This window comes from Homo sapiens, chromosome 17, assembly GCF_000001405.40.
Source record: "Homo sapiens chromosome 17, GRCh38.p14 Primary Assembly".
Lineage (NCBI taxonomy): Eukaryota > Metazoa > Chordata > Mammalia > Primates > Hominidae > Homo > Homo sapiens.
Window position 1 is genome coordinate 19,266,328 of NC_000017.11, and position 16,610 is coordinate 19,282,937.

Below are 16,610 nucleotides of genomic sequence, written 5' to 3' on the forward strand. Positions count from 1 at the left end.
GTATATACCCAGGAGAACTGAAAACTTGTCCACACAAACACCCCATAGATGTCCATCTCAACATTATTATTTATTTTATTTTTTTTTTTTTTTGAGACGGAGTCTCGCTCTGTCGCCCAGGCTGGAGTGCAGTGGCGCGATCTTGGCCCACTGCAAGCTCCGCCTCCCGGGTTCGTGCCATTCTCCTGCCTCAGCCTCCGGAGTAGCTGAGACTACAGGCGCCCGCTACCACGCCTGGCTAATTTTTTGTATTTTTAGTAGAGGTGGGGTTTCACTGTGTTAGCCAGGATGGTTTCGATCTCCTCACCTCGTGATCTGCCCGCCTCGGCCTCCCAAAGTGCTGGGATTACAGGCATAAGCCACCACGCCCGGCCATCTCAGCATTATGAATATGAATATATGAATATTCTTCATGGCATGATAGCCAAAAAAATTAGTAACAACCCAAATGTCCATCAACTGATGAATGGGTAAACAAAATGTGGTCCATCTTTACAAAGGAACATTATTTAGCCATAAAAAGTAATAGAATACTGGTACATAATGCAACACGGATGAACCTTGAAAACACTGAACCTGCCGGGCACGGTGGCTCAGGCCTGTAATCCCAGCACTTTGGGAGGCTGAGGCAGACGGATCACGAGGTCAGGAGATCGAGATAGCCACCACGCCTGGCTAATTTTTTGTATTTTTAGTAGAGACGGGGTTTCCCCGTGTTAGCCAGGATGGTCTCGATCTCCTGACCTTGTGATCCGCCTGCCTCGGCCTCCCAAAGTGCTGGGATGACAGGCGTGAGCCACTGCGCCCGGCCTAAATGTTCACATATTATTTCATTTGTGTGAAATGTCCAGAATAGGGAAATCCATAGGGAGTAGATTTGTCATTGCCAGGGGCTGGGAGTGAGGACGTGTGTGGTGACCACTAATGGATGTTGGGCTTAATTTTGGAGTGTTGAAAATGTTTTGGAATAATAGTGAAATAGTGATGATTGCACAACATTGTGAATATACTAAAAAAAAACCCCGTTGAATCGTATACTTTAAAATAGTGAATTTAATGCTATGTGAATTATATCTCAATAGAAACAAAACAAAAAGATCCCCCCATATGCCATAGCAGTAATACCTGACTTCGTATATGTTACTTAAAGTGAGTATTTGAATTTAAAAGTAAGTTGATGTGAAGAAAAATATGAAGCAAGCAGTAGAGCAGCTTTTTTTTTTTTTTTAAAAAAAGACAGAGTTCCACTCTGTCGCCCAGGCTGGAATGCAATGGCACAATCTCAGCTCACTGCAACCTCTGCCTCCCGGGTTCAAGCGATTCTCCTGCCTTAGCCTCCTGAGTAGCTGGGATTACAGGTGCGCATTACCACACCCGGCTAATTTTTGTATTTTTAATAGAGATGGGGTTTCACCATGTTGGTCAGGCTGGTCTCGAACTCCTGACCTCGTGATCCACCCACCTCAGCCTCCCAAAGTGCCGGGATTACAGGCAGGAGCCACCGCGTCCGGCCAATCAGCTTTTATAGTAAGGATTTGAATGGGCTAATTCCCGGGACAGTGCTTGCACATAGTGGGTGCTCTGTAAGTGTTAGTCATTGTTACTATTGAGAAGAGATGGCAAAAATCTTGAAGGTGAACAACTCAATTTGGCAAGTGCAGATTTCTTGTGTGCCTAGTGAGGCCCTGTTGGTGCAGCCTCAGCCTGCCGCAGCCTCTGCATTCCCAGCTACCTTAGTGGCAGGTGTGTCTCCCTGAGGGTTCTCACTCTGCCCGCAGAGGCCTCCTCTTCCATACTCAGGCACTCATCCCTCTCATTCTTCATTGCAGTGCCCTTGATGGCCCCAAGTCTTGTCCTTGTCTTCTCAGGAGCTGCCTGGAGCACCCAGTTGCAGTGTTTTGTTGCTCCCCCAGTCTAGACAGGGTGCCACATCTGTGCTTGTTCAGATCCCCTGTAGCTGCTGGCATGGGGATCTGGTCACACAGTGAGTGTGTGAAAAATACTTGGCAAACCTGTGTCAACTAAACTATGAATACATCTTTTTTTTTGAGGCAGGGTCTTGCTCTGTCGTCCAGGCTGAAGTATAGTGGCATGATCATGGCTCACTGCAGCCTCAAACTCCTGGGCTCAGGCGATCCTCCATCTCAGTCTCGCACTCCCAGAAGTGTTGGGATTATAGGCGTGAGCCACCACACCTGGCCTTAGTACATCTTTATAATGACAAAACGATGTTATAAATCAGGCAAAAATATTTTAAAAATATATTGCAGAGTTTGTATATCTTATGAATGAGCTGTTCTAGGAACAGACTCTAGAAAAAGCTGACCCACGTGTCCCAGGAGACATGCATGGCTATAGAAGCACTTTTCACAGTAGCAAAAATCTGGAAATAACCCAGATATCCATGGACAGGAACACGGGTAGGCACATGGTTAAATATTGGCATGATCACATGGTACACAGCGGTGACAGTGGGTGAGTGTCAGCTAGCTGTGCATAACAACAGAGAGAACCTCAGAAGCAGTATAGAATGCCACAGGCAGGCTGGGGAAGACTGCATACTGTTCAGTTTTACTAGTGTGTGATACAATTATGTTCTTTTTTAAAAAGTGAGGGACTGAAAACCCAATACCAGGGCTGTTTGCCTTAGAGGTCAAGGAGGTGGGGAGAGGGAAGTGAGGGGAGCCAGGTGGCTGGACATGGTGGTCATGTTCCAGGCCTTGAGGGGACTGTGGAGTCATGGGGACTTATTTTATTTGTCCTCACATGTGGTTTGCACATATTCTCTTATATGTACCTAATGTTACATAATAAAACATTTAAGAAAACAGAAGAACAACAAGAAAACATTAGGGCTGGCTCATACCTTTTGTGGGGTAGACTCTGACATTGAAGAGTTGGGAAGGAACATTTCCTCCTAATATATCCAGTCAGTGTTGCACAGTAAATAAAACACTGGGAATGTCTCCAGCAGAGGAGGAAAGAGGGAAGTAATATTTTTACTCTGCACCAAAAAAGGAAGTTTACCTTTCAACATGAAGAGACTCTTTTTCCTGAGTGGTATTTCAGATGACAACAGCTATTTCAAAGGAACAGTGCAGGTTTCTCAGGGTGTTAAAGTCGGTGTGACTGATTTAGTAGAAGACACTGTTAATAGCCAAAGAGGCATCATTTCTTGAGGATGTGAGTTCTGAAGAACACGTTTTTAGGAATAGTTTTAGAGTCTCTGTGTTGTTATTTTGGACCTCCACCCTGACTGACTCCATTGTATTGCCAGCGTGTAGAACCTTCCACATTTCAAGGTAAAAGTTTCTTTGAATAGCGTTAAAGCCTCTTCCCTTTTGCTGGCTGCACTGAAGGGAGCTGGGAATGCCAGGTTCTGTCCTGGCTTAGCACTGAATGGCTCTGGGTCCTGGCATCTACACGTGGTTGACTTCCAAGGCCCTTCTAGCTGTAGCATCTTTGCTCCTGCTTGTTTGACTTGGTGAGAGACTGGGGAAAGGATCCATTATGGCCCACAAAACATGAGGCTGGAAAACAGTTGTTTCCATGCCATCTTTTGGCCTCAAACATCTAGACAAGAGGGACCTTTGTAGGCCTGCAGATTCAGCAAAGGAAAGTTTCTTGTTCTTACGATTTTGAGCACTGAATTTGTCTAAAGCTACAAAGAATGAGAATAAGAATAGGGATTAAGAGGATGGGATCAGAAGTCAGAGTCTGAGAGCAAATCCTAGTCCCACCTCTTGCTGGCAGTGCAGCCTTGGGTCAGTTACTTAGCCTCTCTTTGCTTCACTTTTCCTCCTCTGTAAGATATGAATAAGAAGAATAACTCCTCCATAGGATTGTTATGAAGATGCCATCAGTGGACACATGTGACCTGCTCAGTTAGTATTCACTAGCCTCTTCTTAGAGAGCCCCTTCTGTTTCTTACTGCTCTTTTAATTCTGTTCTGTTACTAGTATCAAAGAGCACATCTGAGACTTTGCTTGGAAATGCCAGCTGCAGAGGAGAAGGGCAGGCAAGATTGTTGATGGTTTTGAACAGGTTGTGTGTATAGTCTAGAGAGAGATGCTTGTGGACAATGCCACCCACCCCTCTGGTAGGTGATTCCCACCCAGTGTGTTCTCATAGGGATGCCTCTGTAGGCTTTCATCTCCTGCCGAGCTGTCCTTAGGAACCTGCTGAGAAATGTCCCTGTGGACATTGCACCTTGGCAGGACACAGTAGAGGAGGCAGGTATTTGGACACCTCTTATTTGCCAGTCGTACTCTTACCAACCCTCACAGCCATGCTGAGCAGCACCTGTTACCTCTATTTGAGAGGTGTGGAAATAGAGGCTCAGGAAAGCTCAGCTTGCCTCGGACCATGCAGCTGGAAAGGCAGGACATAATCCCTGTGGCCGGAGTGAGAACTACATATTTCAGCCCTAGGCTGCTGCCCAGGCTGCTGGTGTCGCTCCTGAGTCCAGCTGTAAGGGGCATCGAGTGGATTCTCAGGCCCCGTGGTGCCTGGGCTTCGGCAGGTGCTGGTTCGTGTGGAGCATGTGTTAAGCACCTGGTAGGGCTGTTCCTGTTCCCAGGCAGTTTATTGTTAGGCAGACAATACAGCACTTGCCCTTTAACTCAAGAAATGGAGACCGAAAGGGAAACAGGAACTGGGAGAACAGCCTCAAGGTGTGAACTCTGGCAGTCTCTGAGTAGAGAGATAATGGGTATCTTTAACAGTGTTCTTATTTTTTGCTTCTGTGTCACATGGAAGGTGTTTGTTGAGGGCTGAGTGTGTGCCAGGCACTGTTCTAGACAGTGGCAAAGAGGCTGGGCCTTGGTCTCAGGGGGGTGGTGTGGGGGCAGGAGAGAAACAGATAAACAGGCACATAAGAAATGTCAGATAGAGGAGGGGCTCTGTTCCAGATGACAGCTGGTGACGTTGATAGAGAGTGCCTGATGGGTTCTGAGGAGGCCATGCGATCTGAGTGACAAGGAGCCAGTCTAGTGACAGATAGAGGAAGGACGCTGGGTGGGGGAAATGGCAGGTGCATAGAATGCAAGGCAGGAGCCACTTCCGGTCATAGGGAAAGTGACTGGAAATGAGAGTGCAGCATGTGGGTGGCACATAAAGAGTTAACCCTCAGGGATTGCTCTGCCCCAGAGCCCACCTTTGGGATGAAGGAGCTCATCCTTTGAGCTTCAGCTAAGGTGAGCCTGCTCTTGTGGTCTCTAAGATCCTGGCTCACTGCCCATCCCGCAGTGCTGCTTAGATGAGGCTCAGCGGACATCAACCATCACTACCACCAGTCCCTGCAAGTAACTCCCTCAGAAATCTGCATTGTTCAGAAATCTACCGTGTTCCTCTGAAGCTACTATGGAAAGAGTTAGATGTGACCTCCTGGAGGCACAGGTGGGAAGGCAGAGGTGAGCAAACCGCTTGTTTTTCTCACAGCTGTGGTCTTGCACTTGTACATGCACAGTGTAAAAATACCTGTTCCTTGGCCAGCATCTGGAGCTCTCTTTGAGAAAATATGTTACATCACTACTGTGCCCGAAACCCAAAGTCAGCAGGCCCTGCCTGAGGGGATCCACTGCCCCTCCTTTATTTCCACACTCTCGCAGGCTCCTCGCGAGATGGCGACAGCCCAGCAGTTAGCACCACCACATCCACCAGCCAGGTCTAAATTAAACACGAGATCATGGGAATGTAGATTTTCCCATGCAGCTCTGCATGTTTTTCAGATGTCTCAAGCTGGAAAATTATGCTGATCAAATGGTAGTCCATAGCTCGGCCTGTCCTGTGGGGTGGGGGTGAGTAGCCATCAAAGGCTCCCGTTCACTGCACCCAGTCTCTGGTTGGCTTCATCGTCTCCCATCAGCCAGTGTTTTCTCTAGCACAGCCACAGTGTGTGAGAAATGGGGAATCTCTGCCTAAGGGTCACAGCGGCCATCCTCAGAGGAGGGAAGGGTTCTGAAGGCTGCTTTTCACATTTCCAAAGGCTGAAGGGAAGCCCTAGTTTTTTGCCCACCATGAAGCCCCACAGACTAACAAAAACGTCTGCTGCTTGGCTGTGGCTGGAATTCTACTCCCTCAGTTGGTGACCTGTGGCTGGGCTGATCAGAAGCTTGGGTTTCTCATGACACCATGGAGATGGCAGGGAATTGAATCACTGGTCAGAATGGGGGCCTTTGGGACTGAAGGATTTGGGGTGAGCATCTGGTTTAATTCCATCATTTTAGAAGCGAGGACCCTGGGTACTGGCTTCTTGGTGCTACAGAGCGGTCGCAGCATTGGCCCTGATCCCTGGATTCCCATCTCCTCTCACTACCACATCATGTTATTTGCATTTTGGCATGATTTTTAAAAGAATGCTGTTCATAATTTGGTCATTTGTAAGACTGCTTTGAGGAATAGGAGAGGTAGGGGAGCATTCAACAATTCTCATTTGCCTTTATGGAGTGTTGCTGCCTGCACTTTGTGCTGTCACAGTGTTTGATCCTCTACACTGAGGGGGAGGTGCAGCTCCTTGCCATACCCCTGTTTTCCTGGATTGGCAGGAACAGCCAAAACCAGGTCTCCAGACCCCATCTTTTCTTCACACAGTCTTTAAAAAGACTGCATTTCCTCACCTGCCCATGTATTCTACACCCACAGGCTGCTCCTCCCAGAGACTAAATGATAAGGGCATGTTGATAACAAGAAATTAAATTCCTTGTGTATGTTTTGGTACTTGCTTTCTGCTTTTAGAAAATTGAGTACATATCAAGTTCTAGGAGGCCAAGTGACATCTAATTTGAGCTCTGCTGTGTCTGTTCCAGTGGCTCTCAGATCCTGGGAGAAGCTGCCTAGGTGGCTTCTTGAGGGTGGACCTCCTACTCCCCTTCAGGAGCCTCTGCCTGGTCATCTCGTCCTGCAAATAAAGTGGCCATTCTGTGGGTCTGCTCAGCCTTTTTTTTAGAGGTTGGTTCTTCCTATGCAGTCAGCCCTTCCTGGCTCCCCTTTGGCAGTAGGTTAACTGACACCTGCAGGGATCTTTCTTCCTTAGAAGAAAGTCCCAGGGGAGACAAGTAAGCACATGGGCAGTTTACCTTTTCCTGCTCTACTGTCTAGAAGTCAAGTCTGAAATGTTTGTTTTTCTTCAAAATTCTTTAAGTATATGAGTATAAAGGTTTTTTAGCCCAGTTTTTGGAGACTGATAAATTTTTTATTAAAAAAAAAACTATTCATTTTTATAGACAGGGTCTTGCTAGGTTGTCCAGGCTAGATTTGAACTCCTGGGCTCAAGTGATCCTCCTGCCTCAGCCTTCTGAGTAGCTGGGAAACAAGTGTGTAGCACCCTGCCCAGCTGATATAAAATTTGATTTCTCTAACCAACAAGAAGTCATCAGAATATAGATGCCCACTTTCAGTTAGTGAAGATGTTTATTTTTTGGCTGAATCTCACTGTTTTTCTGGTATGAGGGAAATAAAGGATTTTTTTCTTTTCATTTCTCTACGGGATGAGCAACAGTTATTAGGCTTTAAGTTATTGCTAGCGTGGCTGAAACAGAGTCATAATAGTCTTTTCTCTTTTGGCTGAAATGATGACTGTTGAAAAGAATGTAGCACTGTCCATATTGTCCTAACTGGCCTGTTGTCTTCTGGAGAGCCCGTGTGGTTTGGTCATGTGGTCTGTGGTCTCAGCTACCCCAACTGGGCCTCCTTGTAATGATCGTTGTACCCTTTTCTCCGGTAGGAAGATGGAGATGTTTCCTCACTCGTGGACTGCACCTCAGGAAAGATAAAGCCAGTGAATTGAGGATTGCGGAGTATTGCACACATTCAGGTGTCCTGCAGTGGACACCATGACACTGACTCCAGCATGCCTAGAAATCACCATGGGGGCTTAAGAGAGTGGCACCCCCTCAGCTCTGCCCCCAGAATGACTGGATTTTTGAACAGACTCCCAGGAAGTTCTGATGTATCTGGTTGATGGACCACACTGGTGGAACACTGTGGGAAAGGTGGGGTGTACCCCTTTCCCAAGCATTCTCTGTCATCTGCTTTTAGAAAAATAAAGTACATGTAGAAACATAGGAGGCTGCCAGACATACATAGGTGGAGCTACCATCTGAGGTGAAGATGTTCAGGTCAATTAATTCACCCGTATTTATTGATTGGGACTGGGTTTTCACAATGTTGATTGACCTGTGATTGTTAGGTTTGGGGAGGGGAGTGGAAAGACAGCTCCCTGACAGCCGAGCGTGATCTTCAATGATGGCTGCTCCCCATAGTTTCCTTAGGGACTTGATGTAGACCCCAGCTGAAAGGTGAACATCCTCCTCTCAGCACACGATCAGCCACACCTTGGTGGCACAGAGGCACGGGGTGTAGAGATGTGTGCCTTCACCACAGGCCCACCTGCACTGCTTGGAACTGTGAAAAGCCTCTGTCTCCCATGATGGGGAACTCTAGATTTGGAAAGAATTTCCCCACCCAGCATCTCAAGCCTTCAGAGCACATTTTTATGGAATACTTCTTGCCTCCTGGGGCATAACCCTAGCCTTGGAAATTTTTTTTTCCAGTTTTGTTCTGTTTGCTGTTTTGTTTAGTCTCTTTTCAGTCTCTACTCTCATTTGAATTCTGACTGTGTTTTCAAGTTTACCAGAAAATTCTCCCCCAGCTTGTCCCCTGCATGTATGGGGATCTAGCTGTTATTTTGTGGTTCCCGTCATGAGTCACTCTCAAAAAAGAGCAGATGATCCCAGACTTTGGTTGGGGTTGCCTCCTTCACAGGGAGTGCCGAGCCCTCCTGGGGAGGATGCAGTTCTTCCTTGGTCAGTCTTGGGTTGTGGGTCAACTGTGGCTGGGGGGAGCCTGACTGATGTCTCTGCACTCCTACTTGAGGCCCTGTTGGAGGTTCAGGGGAGCGCCCATGCTCTGTCCTTTTGTTGTTTGGCTGTTGTTGCCTTTCTACCTCTGGTTCTCTCAGGTGCTTTGTGCACAGGGTTTGCAGTTGCAGGGATCAAAAGCACACATTGCTGTAGGTTACAGCATGAGAATTTCAGGGAATAAATGGCTTCATGCACAGGTAGACATAGAGGTGCAGACCACGTGTTGTTATGTCTTGTGCCTTCTCCTTTCCTTGGCTTCTTGCTTTCTTCTGTGGCTGCTTCAATCATAGGTAAACTCTGACTCTGCCCCTGTGGTGTGTTCCAGCAGCTTAGCAACCCTGCTGGTTTCCCAGAAGTTTTAGGAACCATCCAGAGGGGTCTACAGGTGGTCCAGTCTGGATTCTTAACATATCACTGATGTAGCTGCTGGGCGGGGGAACTGTGGGGCTTTGATTGGCCTGGTCTGAGTCCTGGGCCTACTCCTGGCCAGTTTCCCAAGGATGACTGAAGTACTCTTTCCAAGAAGAGGGGGATTATGGTTGTTACATAGGCAAAACCAATGATTCAGTTTTCAGAATGGAAATGAAATATTATTTGGTTTAAAGAACCTTACCTAGTTCTGGGGACTAACTGTAGAAAAGTGAGTATTCGCTTTCATATTGAATAGATATGGCTTTTTACGTGGAGGCTCTGGAGCTCCCAGGGCATTTCAGAAGGCCTGACAATTTCTGCATTGCTCATGGTGCTACTTCCCCAGGCCACCTCAAGCATTCAGTTTCTTTGCTGTTGGTTGGAATTTATTGACACTGTGTGGTTAACAATTGTTATCTAACATGTGTCAGCACCCTGATTTCTTAGTAAAATGAATTATTAATTAATACAATTTCAAAACAGGTTTTTAGGGCTAGGGCTGGAGTGGGGAAGGTGTGGCTGGTGGGGTGGTGGCCAGGAGCTTCTGCCTGGTCATCTCTTCCTGCAAATAAAGTGGCCATTCTGTGGGCCTGCTCAGCCGTTTTTTTGAGACAAAGTTGCTCTTTCACCCAGGCTGGAGTGCAGTGGCATTATCATGGTCCACTGTAGCCTCCATCTCCTGGGCTCAAGGGATTCTCCCATCTCAGTCTCCTGAGTAGCTGGGACTGCAGATGTGCACCACCATGCCCAGCTAATTAAAATTTTTTTTTTTTTTTTTTTTTTTTTTTTTTTTGTAGAAATGAGGTCTCACCATGTTGTCCAGGCTGGTCTTGAACTCCTGGGCTCAAGTGATCCTCCTGCCTTGGCCTCCCGAAGTGCTGGGATTATAGGCGTGAGCCACTGCACCTGGCCCTATTCCTGTGACAGCTCTCTTGGAAGGTACAGAAAGGTTTGTTTGCCTTGAATAATGAATCTCACTTTACACCTTGCTGTCTTCATTTAAAAATATTTCAAGTTTTGACAGAATTGTACAAGTTCATGTACTTTATTTATCAATTAGCATCAAATAGTTCTAGGTAATAACTGATGATATGATGATAGAACTGGATTTCTAAAGGTGTTTCTAGTTACTGAGGATCCTTTCAATTGTCAGTATGTAATTTATGAGAATAAGTTTTTTTTTTTTTTTTTTGCTGTATTGGGTCTAAACTTTTAACAGAGTTTAATACTGTTTTTCCTTGTTTTGACAACCCTCCCACCTCCACCTCTAACATCCATATCTGGTGTAGAGGTTCATAAGAAATTATTGTGAGCTGATCACACACTTCCTCAGGTTTGAGTGAGGAGCCCAGAAGGTAACAAATGATCCTGTTTTAGTTGCATTTGCATGTGCATTAGTTCAGTCTCAGCAAGCTGGAAACAAGAAAATTGGAAAATTGAGAAGGAAAGTGGAGCGTGCAAACTATGCGAAAAAGAGGGAGAAGAAAACAAAACTCAGATTCTAGAAATAACAGAATGTGCCCGGGCACGGTGGCTCACGCCTGTCATCTCAGCAGTTTGGGAGGCCGAGGCGGGTGGATCACTTGAGGTCAGGAGTCCGAGACCAGCCTGGCCAAAATGTTGAAACCCCATCTCTACTAAAAACACAGAACTTAGCTGGGTGAGGTGGCAGGTGCCTATAATCCCAGCTACTTGGGTGGCTGAGGTGCCAGGATCACATGAACCTGAGAGGCAGAGGTTGCAGTGAGCCGAGATTGCACCACGGCACTCCAGCCTGGGCAAAAGGGTGAGACTCTGTCTCAAAAAAAAAAAAAAAAAAAAAGAGAGAAATAACAGGATTTGCCGTGGAGGGTGGTATATGTTTGGAGCTTGGAGCTTGCTCTTGGGATGGACTCATGGCAGATGTTTGCTGGGAGAGAAGATGTTTAAATGTTTACAGGCTGTCCTGTGGTTGAGGGGAAACAGTGAAAAATGGGGACCTGAGGTGTACAAGGTCAAGTGTGTCAAAGTATTGGAAGTCCAGGTGTTCAGCTGGAATAGCTGGAGCTTTGTGCCCACTGGCACTGCTGGAGTCCTGCTTCATGGCCCACGCATCATGGGCTGTCTCACGGTTGGAATAATTAGTTTCAGCCTCCAAAGTCTCGCTTAGGTGAGGTGCGTAGTCCAGTTGGCCTGGAAAATGAAAAGCTTTGGCCGGGCGCGGTGGCTCACGCCTGTAATCCCAGCACTCTGGGAGGCCAGGGTGGGCGGATCACGAGGTCAGGAGATCGAGACCATCCTGGCTAACACGGTGAAACCTCGTCTCCACTAAAAATACAAAAAAATTAGCTGGGCGTGGTGGTGGGTGCCTGTAGTCCCAGCTACTCAGGAGGCTGAGGCAGGAAGAATGGTGTGAACCTGGGAGGCGGAGCTTGCAGTGAGCCGAGATCACACCACTGCACCAGCCTGGGCGACAGAGCGAGACTATGTCTCAAAAAAAAAAAAAAAGAAAATGAAAAGCCTCCAGTGACTTTTCTCCTAGTGAGGATTATTTATTTGTTTGTTTATTTATTTATTTTTAGAGACGGGGTCTCGCCATGTTGCCCAGGTTGGTCTTGAACTCCTGAGCTCAAGTGATCTGCCCGCCTCGGCTTCCCAAAGTGCTGGGATTACAGACATGAGCCACCACACCTGGTCCTAGTGAGGTGTATTAGTCTGTTTTCACACTACTGATAAAGACATACCCGAGACTGGGAAGAAAAGGAGGTTTAATTGGACTTACAGTTCCACATGCCTGGAGAGGCCTCAGAATTATGGCAGGAGGTGAAAGGCACTTCTTACATGGCAGCAACAAGAGAAAAATGAGGAAGAAGCAAAAATGCAAACCCCTGATAAACCCATCAGATCTCATGAGACTTACTCACTATCACAGGAATAGCATGGGAAAGACTGGCCCGCATAATTCAATTACCTCTCCCGGGTCCCTTCCACAACACGTGGGAATTCTGGGAGACACAATTCAAGTTGAGATTTGGGTGGGGACACAACCAAACCATGTCATGAAGATTTCTTTTGGTTTTTCTCTTTTGAGACAGAGTCTTGCTCTGTCACCCAGGCTGGAGAGCAGTGGTGCCATCTCAGCTCACTCCAACCTCTGCCTCCTGGGTTGAAGCGATTCTCATGCCTCAGCTACCCAGGTAGCTGGGATTCCAGGTGTGCACCACCATGCCTGGCTAATTTTTATATTAGGGTTTTGCCCTGTTGGCCAAGCTATTGCTGAACTCCTGGCCTCAAGTGATCCTCCCACATCGGCCTCCCAGAGTGCTGGGATTACAGTCATGAACCACCGTGCCCGGCCCCTAGTGAGGATTTCTTAGTGAGGATTTCGAAAGCTGCTCCTGTCTATAAACTTCAAGAAAATAGCAGGCAGCCATGCAAATTATATAGGCCTTATTTCGTTTTTTTTTACTATAACCAGTATTTTATTATTTTATTAGCTTTTTCCTTTTTCCTGAAGTTTAAGTATTTCAGAGACCATCAGCAGATGTCCTTGCAAGTTAGTCTGTTAGAGAAAGCCCCTGCCTTGGTCAACAGCCCCTGTTTCTTAATTGTTTGGAGTTCCTTTCCCAGCTTATGTCTGGGAGGGCAGCGGCACCTTGGCCCTTGCTCACAGGAATCACTGCCTTTTCTTTGCTGCCAAAGGTCTAGGAGGCTCATTGGGAGCCCTGGCTGGGCCTCACAGCCTCCCTGGGAGGACACTAGGCCCAGCTGGAGGTCTTCTGCTTCCACCCACAAGGTCACCAGATGGGGGAGGGCAGCAGAGCCCAGAGCATTGTTTCTCACTTAGGAAAGTGTTCCTTTTTTTGTTTTTTTTTTTTGAGACAGAGTCTCACTGTGTCACCCAGGCTGGAGTGCAGTGGCGCAATCTCAGCTCACTGCAAGCTCTGCCTCCCGGGTTCACGCCATTCTCCCACCTCAGCCTCCCAAGTAGCTGGGACTACAGGCGCCCGCCACTATGCCTGGCTAATTTTTTGTATTTTTAGTAGAGACGGGGTTTCACCATTCACAGGATGGTCTTGATCTCCTGACCTTGTGATCCACCTGCCTCAGCCTCCCAAAGTGCTGGGATTACAGGCGTGAGCCACCGCACCCTGCAGGAAAGTGTTCCTTTTTTTTTTCTTAGGACATTCTCAACCATTTGAGACCATTTTACTGGGAAGGAGGTGGCCAAAGTCCTCTTTTTTTTCTTTACTTTTCTTTTCTTTTTTTTTTTTTTGAGACAGGGTCTCACTCTATCGCCCAGGCTGGAGTGCAGTGGCGCAATCTTGGCTCACTACAACCTCCACCTCTCGGGCTCAAGCAGTTCTCGTGCCTCAGCCTCCTGAGTAAGCTGGGATTACAGGTGTGTACCACCACACTCAGGTAATTTTTTGTATTTTTAGTAGAGACAGGGTTTTGCCATGTTGCCCAGGCTGGTCTTGAACTCCTGAGCTCAGGCAGTCTACCTGCCTGGGCCTCCCAAAGTGCTAGGATTACAGGTGTGAGCCACCATGCCCAGCCAAAGTCTTTGTCAGTGGTGAATCCTAGCTCTGCCCACTTCTCTGAGAAGCTGAAGAGTCATACCTGCTCTACATCAAATGGAACAACAAATTGAAGGGCCTGGTGGTCCCTGGCACATTGTAAGGCTCCTGAACATTAAGTACCTCTGAACATTACTATTGATTTTGACACATATTTGCCCTTTAAGCTGGGAAATATTCATTAAAAATTAAAGTGTTCTTTTTCTTTGTGAGGCCCATCGTATCTTTGCCAGCAGTGAATGTTGCATCATGAATGAAAAACCTAATTACATCAAATGTGCAGGTCACCGTGCAAAAGTTTTTATCCCTGGTCCTTTCACAGCCTTTGCAGAATATGCCTGCTTTTAGCTGAAGCCCTGTTCTGTGGCTTCAGATAGAGTCAGATTCCTTGACATATTTGAGGATGGAGAGAAGGCCTCCTTGGCCAGAGCAGATGTATGGGTTATTACCAGGGTGAAATTTTATGAGCTGTCCCCTTTTTGTGTGTGGAAAAATCATACAAAGTGCTTTTTCCTATTTTCTCACTTAACAGCAATCAATACAGATAACTTCTGTAACTTTCTCCCCACGTAACAAGCAAGCAGTCAGTTTTGCAGGACACCAGCTAGGTGTCCTTCAGTTCAACTCTGATATTTACCTGGAGATAGCTTCAGATCCCATATGTTGAGGGCTCAGTCCCACAAGAACACTCCCTTCTTCCCAGCAGTGCAAGTCCACGCCTCTGGAACTTCTGACCAACCAGCTTCAAGTTGAGACCCCTTCTTTGGGTTCAATTAATTCGGTAGAGTGGCTCACATAACTCAGCGAAATTGACTTATATTTACCTATTTATTATAAAGGATATTGCAAAGGATACAGATGAAGAGATGCATAGGCCAGGTGTGGGAGAAGGAGTGCAGAGCTTCCATGCCATACCTCAGTGCCACCGTTCAGGAACCTTTGTGTGTTCAGCCATCCAGAAGCTTCCTGAGCCTGTCCTTATGTCTTTTTATGGAGGCTTCATTATGGAGACATGATTGACTAAATGATTGGCCATTGGTGATAAACCTAATCTTCAGTCCATCTCCCCTTACCGGGACTGATCCTGCCTTGGTCTTTCTGGTAACCAGCCCCATCCTGAAGCTGCCTAGGGACTGCCAGCCCTCAGTCAATCATTCACATGCAAAAAGACATCACTGTGGAGATTCCGAGGATTTTAGGTTTGGAATCCCTGCCAAGTGCCCGGGATGAAGACCAAATACATATTTCACAATAGCAAACCCTTCTTTTTGTGTGATTGTTTGTGATGAGTAGTCATTGCATTTCCTGTGGCTTTTCCTTGCTTCTGCCACCTTTTGTTTACTTGCTTGTTTTTTTGATGTGCCCATTACCCATCTGAGGCTTTAGATGAGGAAGGTAGGAGCTACCTGTTGTTTCTGTGGCAGAAACATCTTGAGAGTAAAGACCACCACAGGAAGAAAGGGAGGCGCAGGTTCTGGGCCTGGAGTGACCTTAGTCAGCTGACCGTGTGATTCCAGGCTTCGGTTCCTCACTTGTGTAGTGGGAAAAATAATCCTTCCTCTGAGGGTTTGAGGGTGGGGGGTGGACAGCCAAGCAGGTGGTCAGAATGGTGGGTGGAGCCCCTTGCTTCCTATCCGGGCCCTAGCTGTCCTAATCTACCTGGGGCAATCCCTGGAGACTTCTAGGGCCTCAGTTTTCCCATTTTATAGGTAAGGAACCTTCATCCCCTGCCAGACTGTGGCCTTCTTGAGGGCAGGGACTCTGTTTTTAATCTGTAACATTCATTTATTTAACAGTGTTCATTTCTGTGTCGGGCACAGTGCTAAGTGCTGGGTGCTCACTGGTGATGAGGCAGATGAAGGTTACCAAACTTGTGGACAGGAGCCTCATATCAGAGACGTGGACCTCACTGTAGCCTGGTAAGTGAGTGTTATCTGGAGGAAGAGAGGGGATAGATGATGTGTTTGGTTGGAGCGAGTTAATAGATAGCCAGGGGTCTCAGTTTTCTTTGTGAAATGAGGGGCTGGGCTATAACCAGATTAGTTTTAAGGCTGTATTAGCTTGGGCCAGATGCTGGAGGCTTCTGAAAGCCAAGTGGAGGTCTTTATCCTTTTTCTAGAATTGCTGTTAGGAATCTTTATAAATTCTTGAACAGGGAAGGTCAGGCGAAAAGTGGTTGTCAAGGAGAATTTTCTGGACATTCGGAAACACAGTGGACCAAAGCAGTTTTGAAGGTATTGACAGGCATTTTTGAGTTAAGATAGACCTGAAATTAGTCTCTTTCTTGTCCTCATGTGTATTTTTTTTTATTTAAATAAACTTTAAAAAAATAGAGATGGGGGTATTGCTGTTTTGACCAGGCTGGCCTCAAGTAATCCTCCCATTTCAGCTTCGCAAAGTGCTGGGATTACAGGTGTGAGCCACCATATCTGGTCTCACATGTAATTTTAAATCTGCCAAGATCAGCTTCCCCCAGTGTTTCCGATTCTTCCACAGCTGGCTTTTGCCAGGCAGTGAAAAGACAACCCATAAAATAGCCATTCCAGTGGAAGTGTTTTGAAAATAGAGCAATAGTCATGATGTTTACTTCTTTTCTCCTAAAGGCTTAAACTTGAGTGTAAGTTTTATTCATTGTTGACTGGTGATATTGATTTTATCTTGGGTTCGTCCTAAGGAGGCTGGGTATGTCCACTCAGCTCCCCAGTTTTACCCAGTACCTGCTGCTGGACCACAGTCTCCCACCCTCACAGGGGGCTTACGTCGCAGTGGAATGGGTTTT

The 16,610-nt window shown here is 46.8% G+C and overlaps 1 protein-coding gene and 1 long non-coding RNA gene across 4 annotated transcripts in view, besides 2 other annotated features; both read left to right on the top strand.

Annotated features, from left to right (window-relative positions):
- The window catches only part of EPN2 (epsin 2), a 99,350-nt gene that overhangs the window by 28,962 nt on the left and 53,778 nt on the right, over positions 1-16,610 (top strand). For 2 of the 3 annotated variants that reach the window (NM_014964.5, NM_148921.4), the window contains exon 2: positions 15,628-15,750. The exons of the other annotated variant lie outside the window; for it this stretch is intronic. The gene's annotated coding sequence lies outside the window, so the exon portion shown is untranslated. The remainder of the gene's footprint in view (positions 1-15,627; positions 15,751-16,610) is intronic. 3 annotated transcript variants of the gene reach the window in all.
- Positions 4,499-4,768: an enhancer, noted in NCBI's record as "active region_11850". NCBI's record gives its function as "activates an Ori minimal core promoter by ATAC-STARR-seq in GM12878 lymphoblastoid cells {active_cell/tissue: GM12878}" and the evidence as "EXISTENCE:reporter gene assay evidence [ECO:0000049][PMID:35858748]".
- Positions 4,779-4,868: an enhancer, noted in NCBI's record as "active region_11851". NCBI's record gives its function as "activates an Ori minimal core promoter by ATAC-STARR-seq in GM12878 lymphoblastoid cells {active_cell/tissue: GM12878}" and the evidence as "EXISTENCE:reporter gene assay evidence [ECO:0000049][PMID:35858748]".
- Positions 5,066-8,061, top strand: EPN2-IT1 (EPN2 intronic transcript 1). Its single transcript, NR_046824.1, has 3 exons — positions 5,066-5,411; positions 6,807-6,948; positions 7,724-8,061. It is a non-coding gene; the product is annotated as an EPN2 intronic transcript 1 (long non-coding RNA).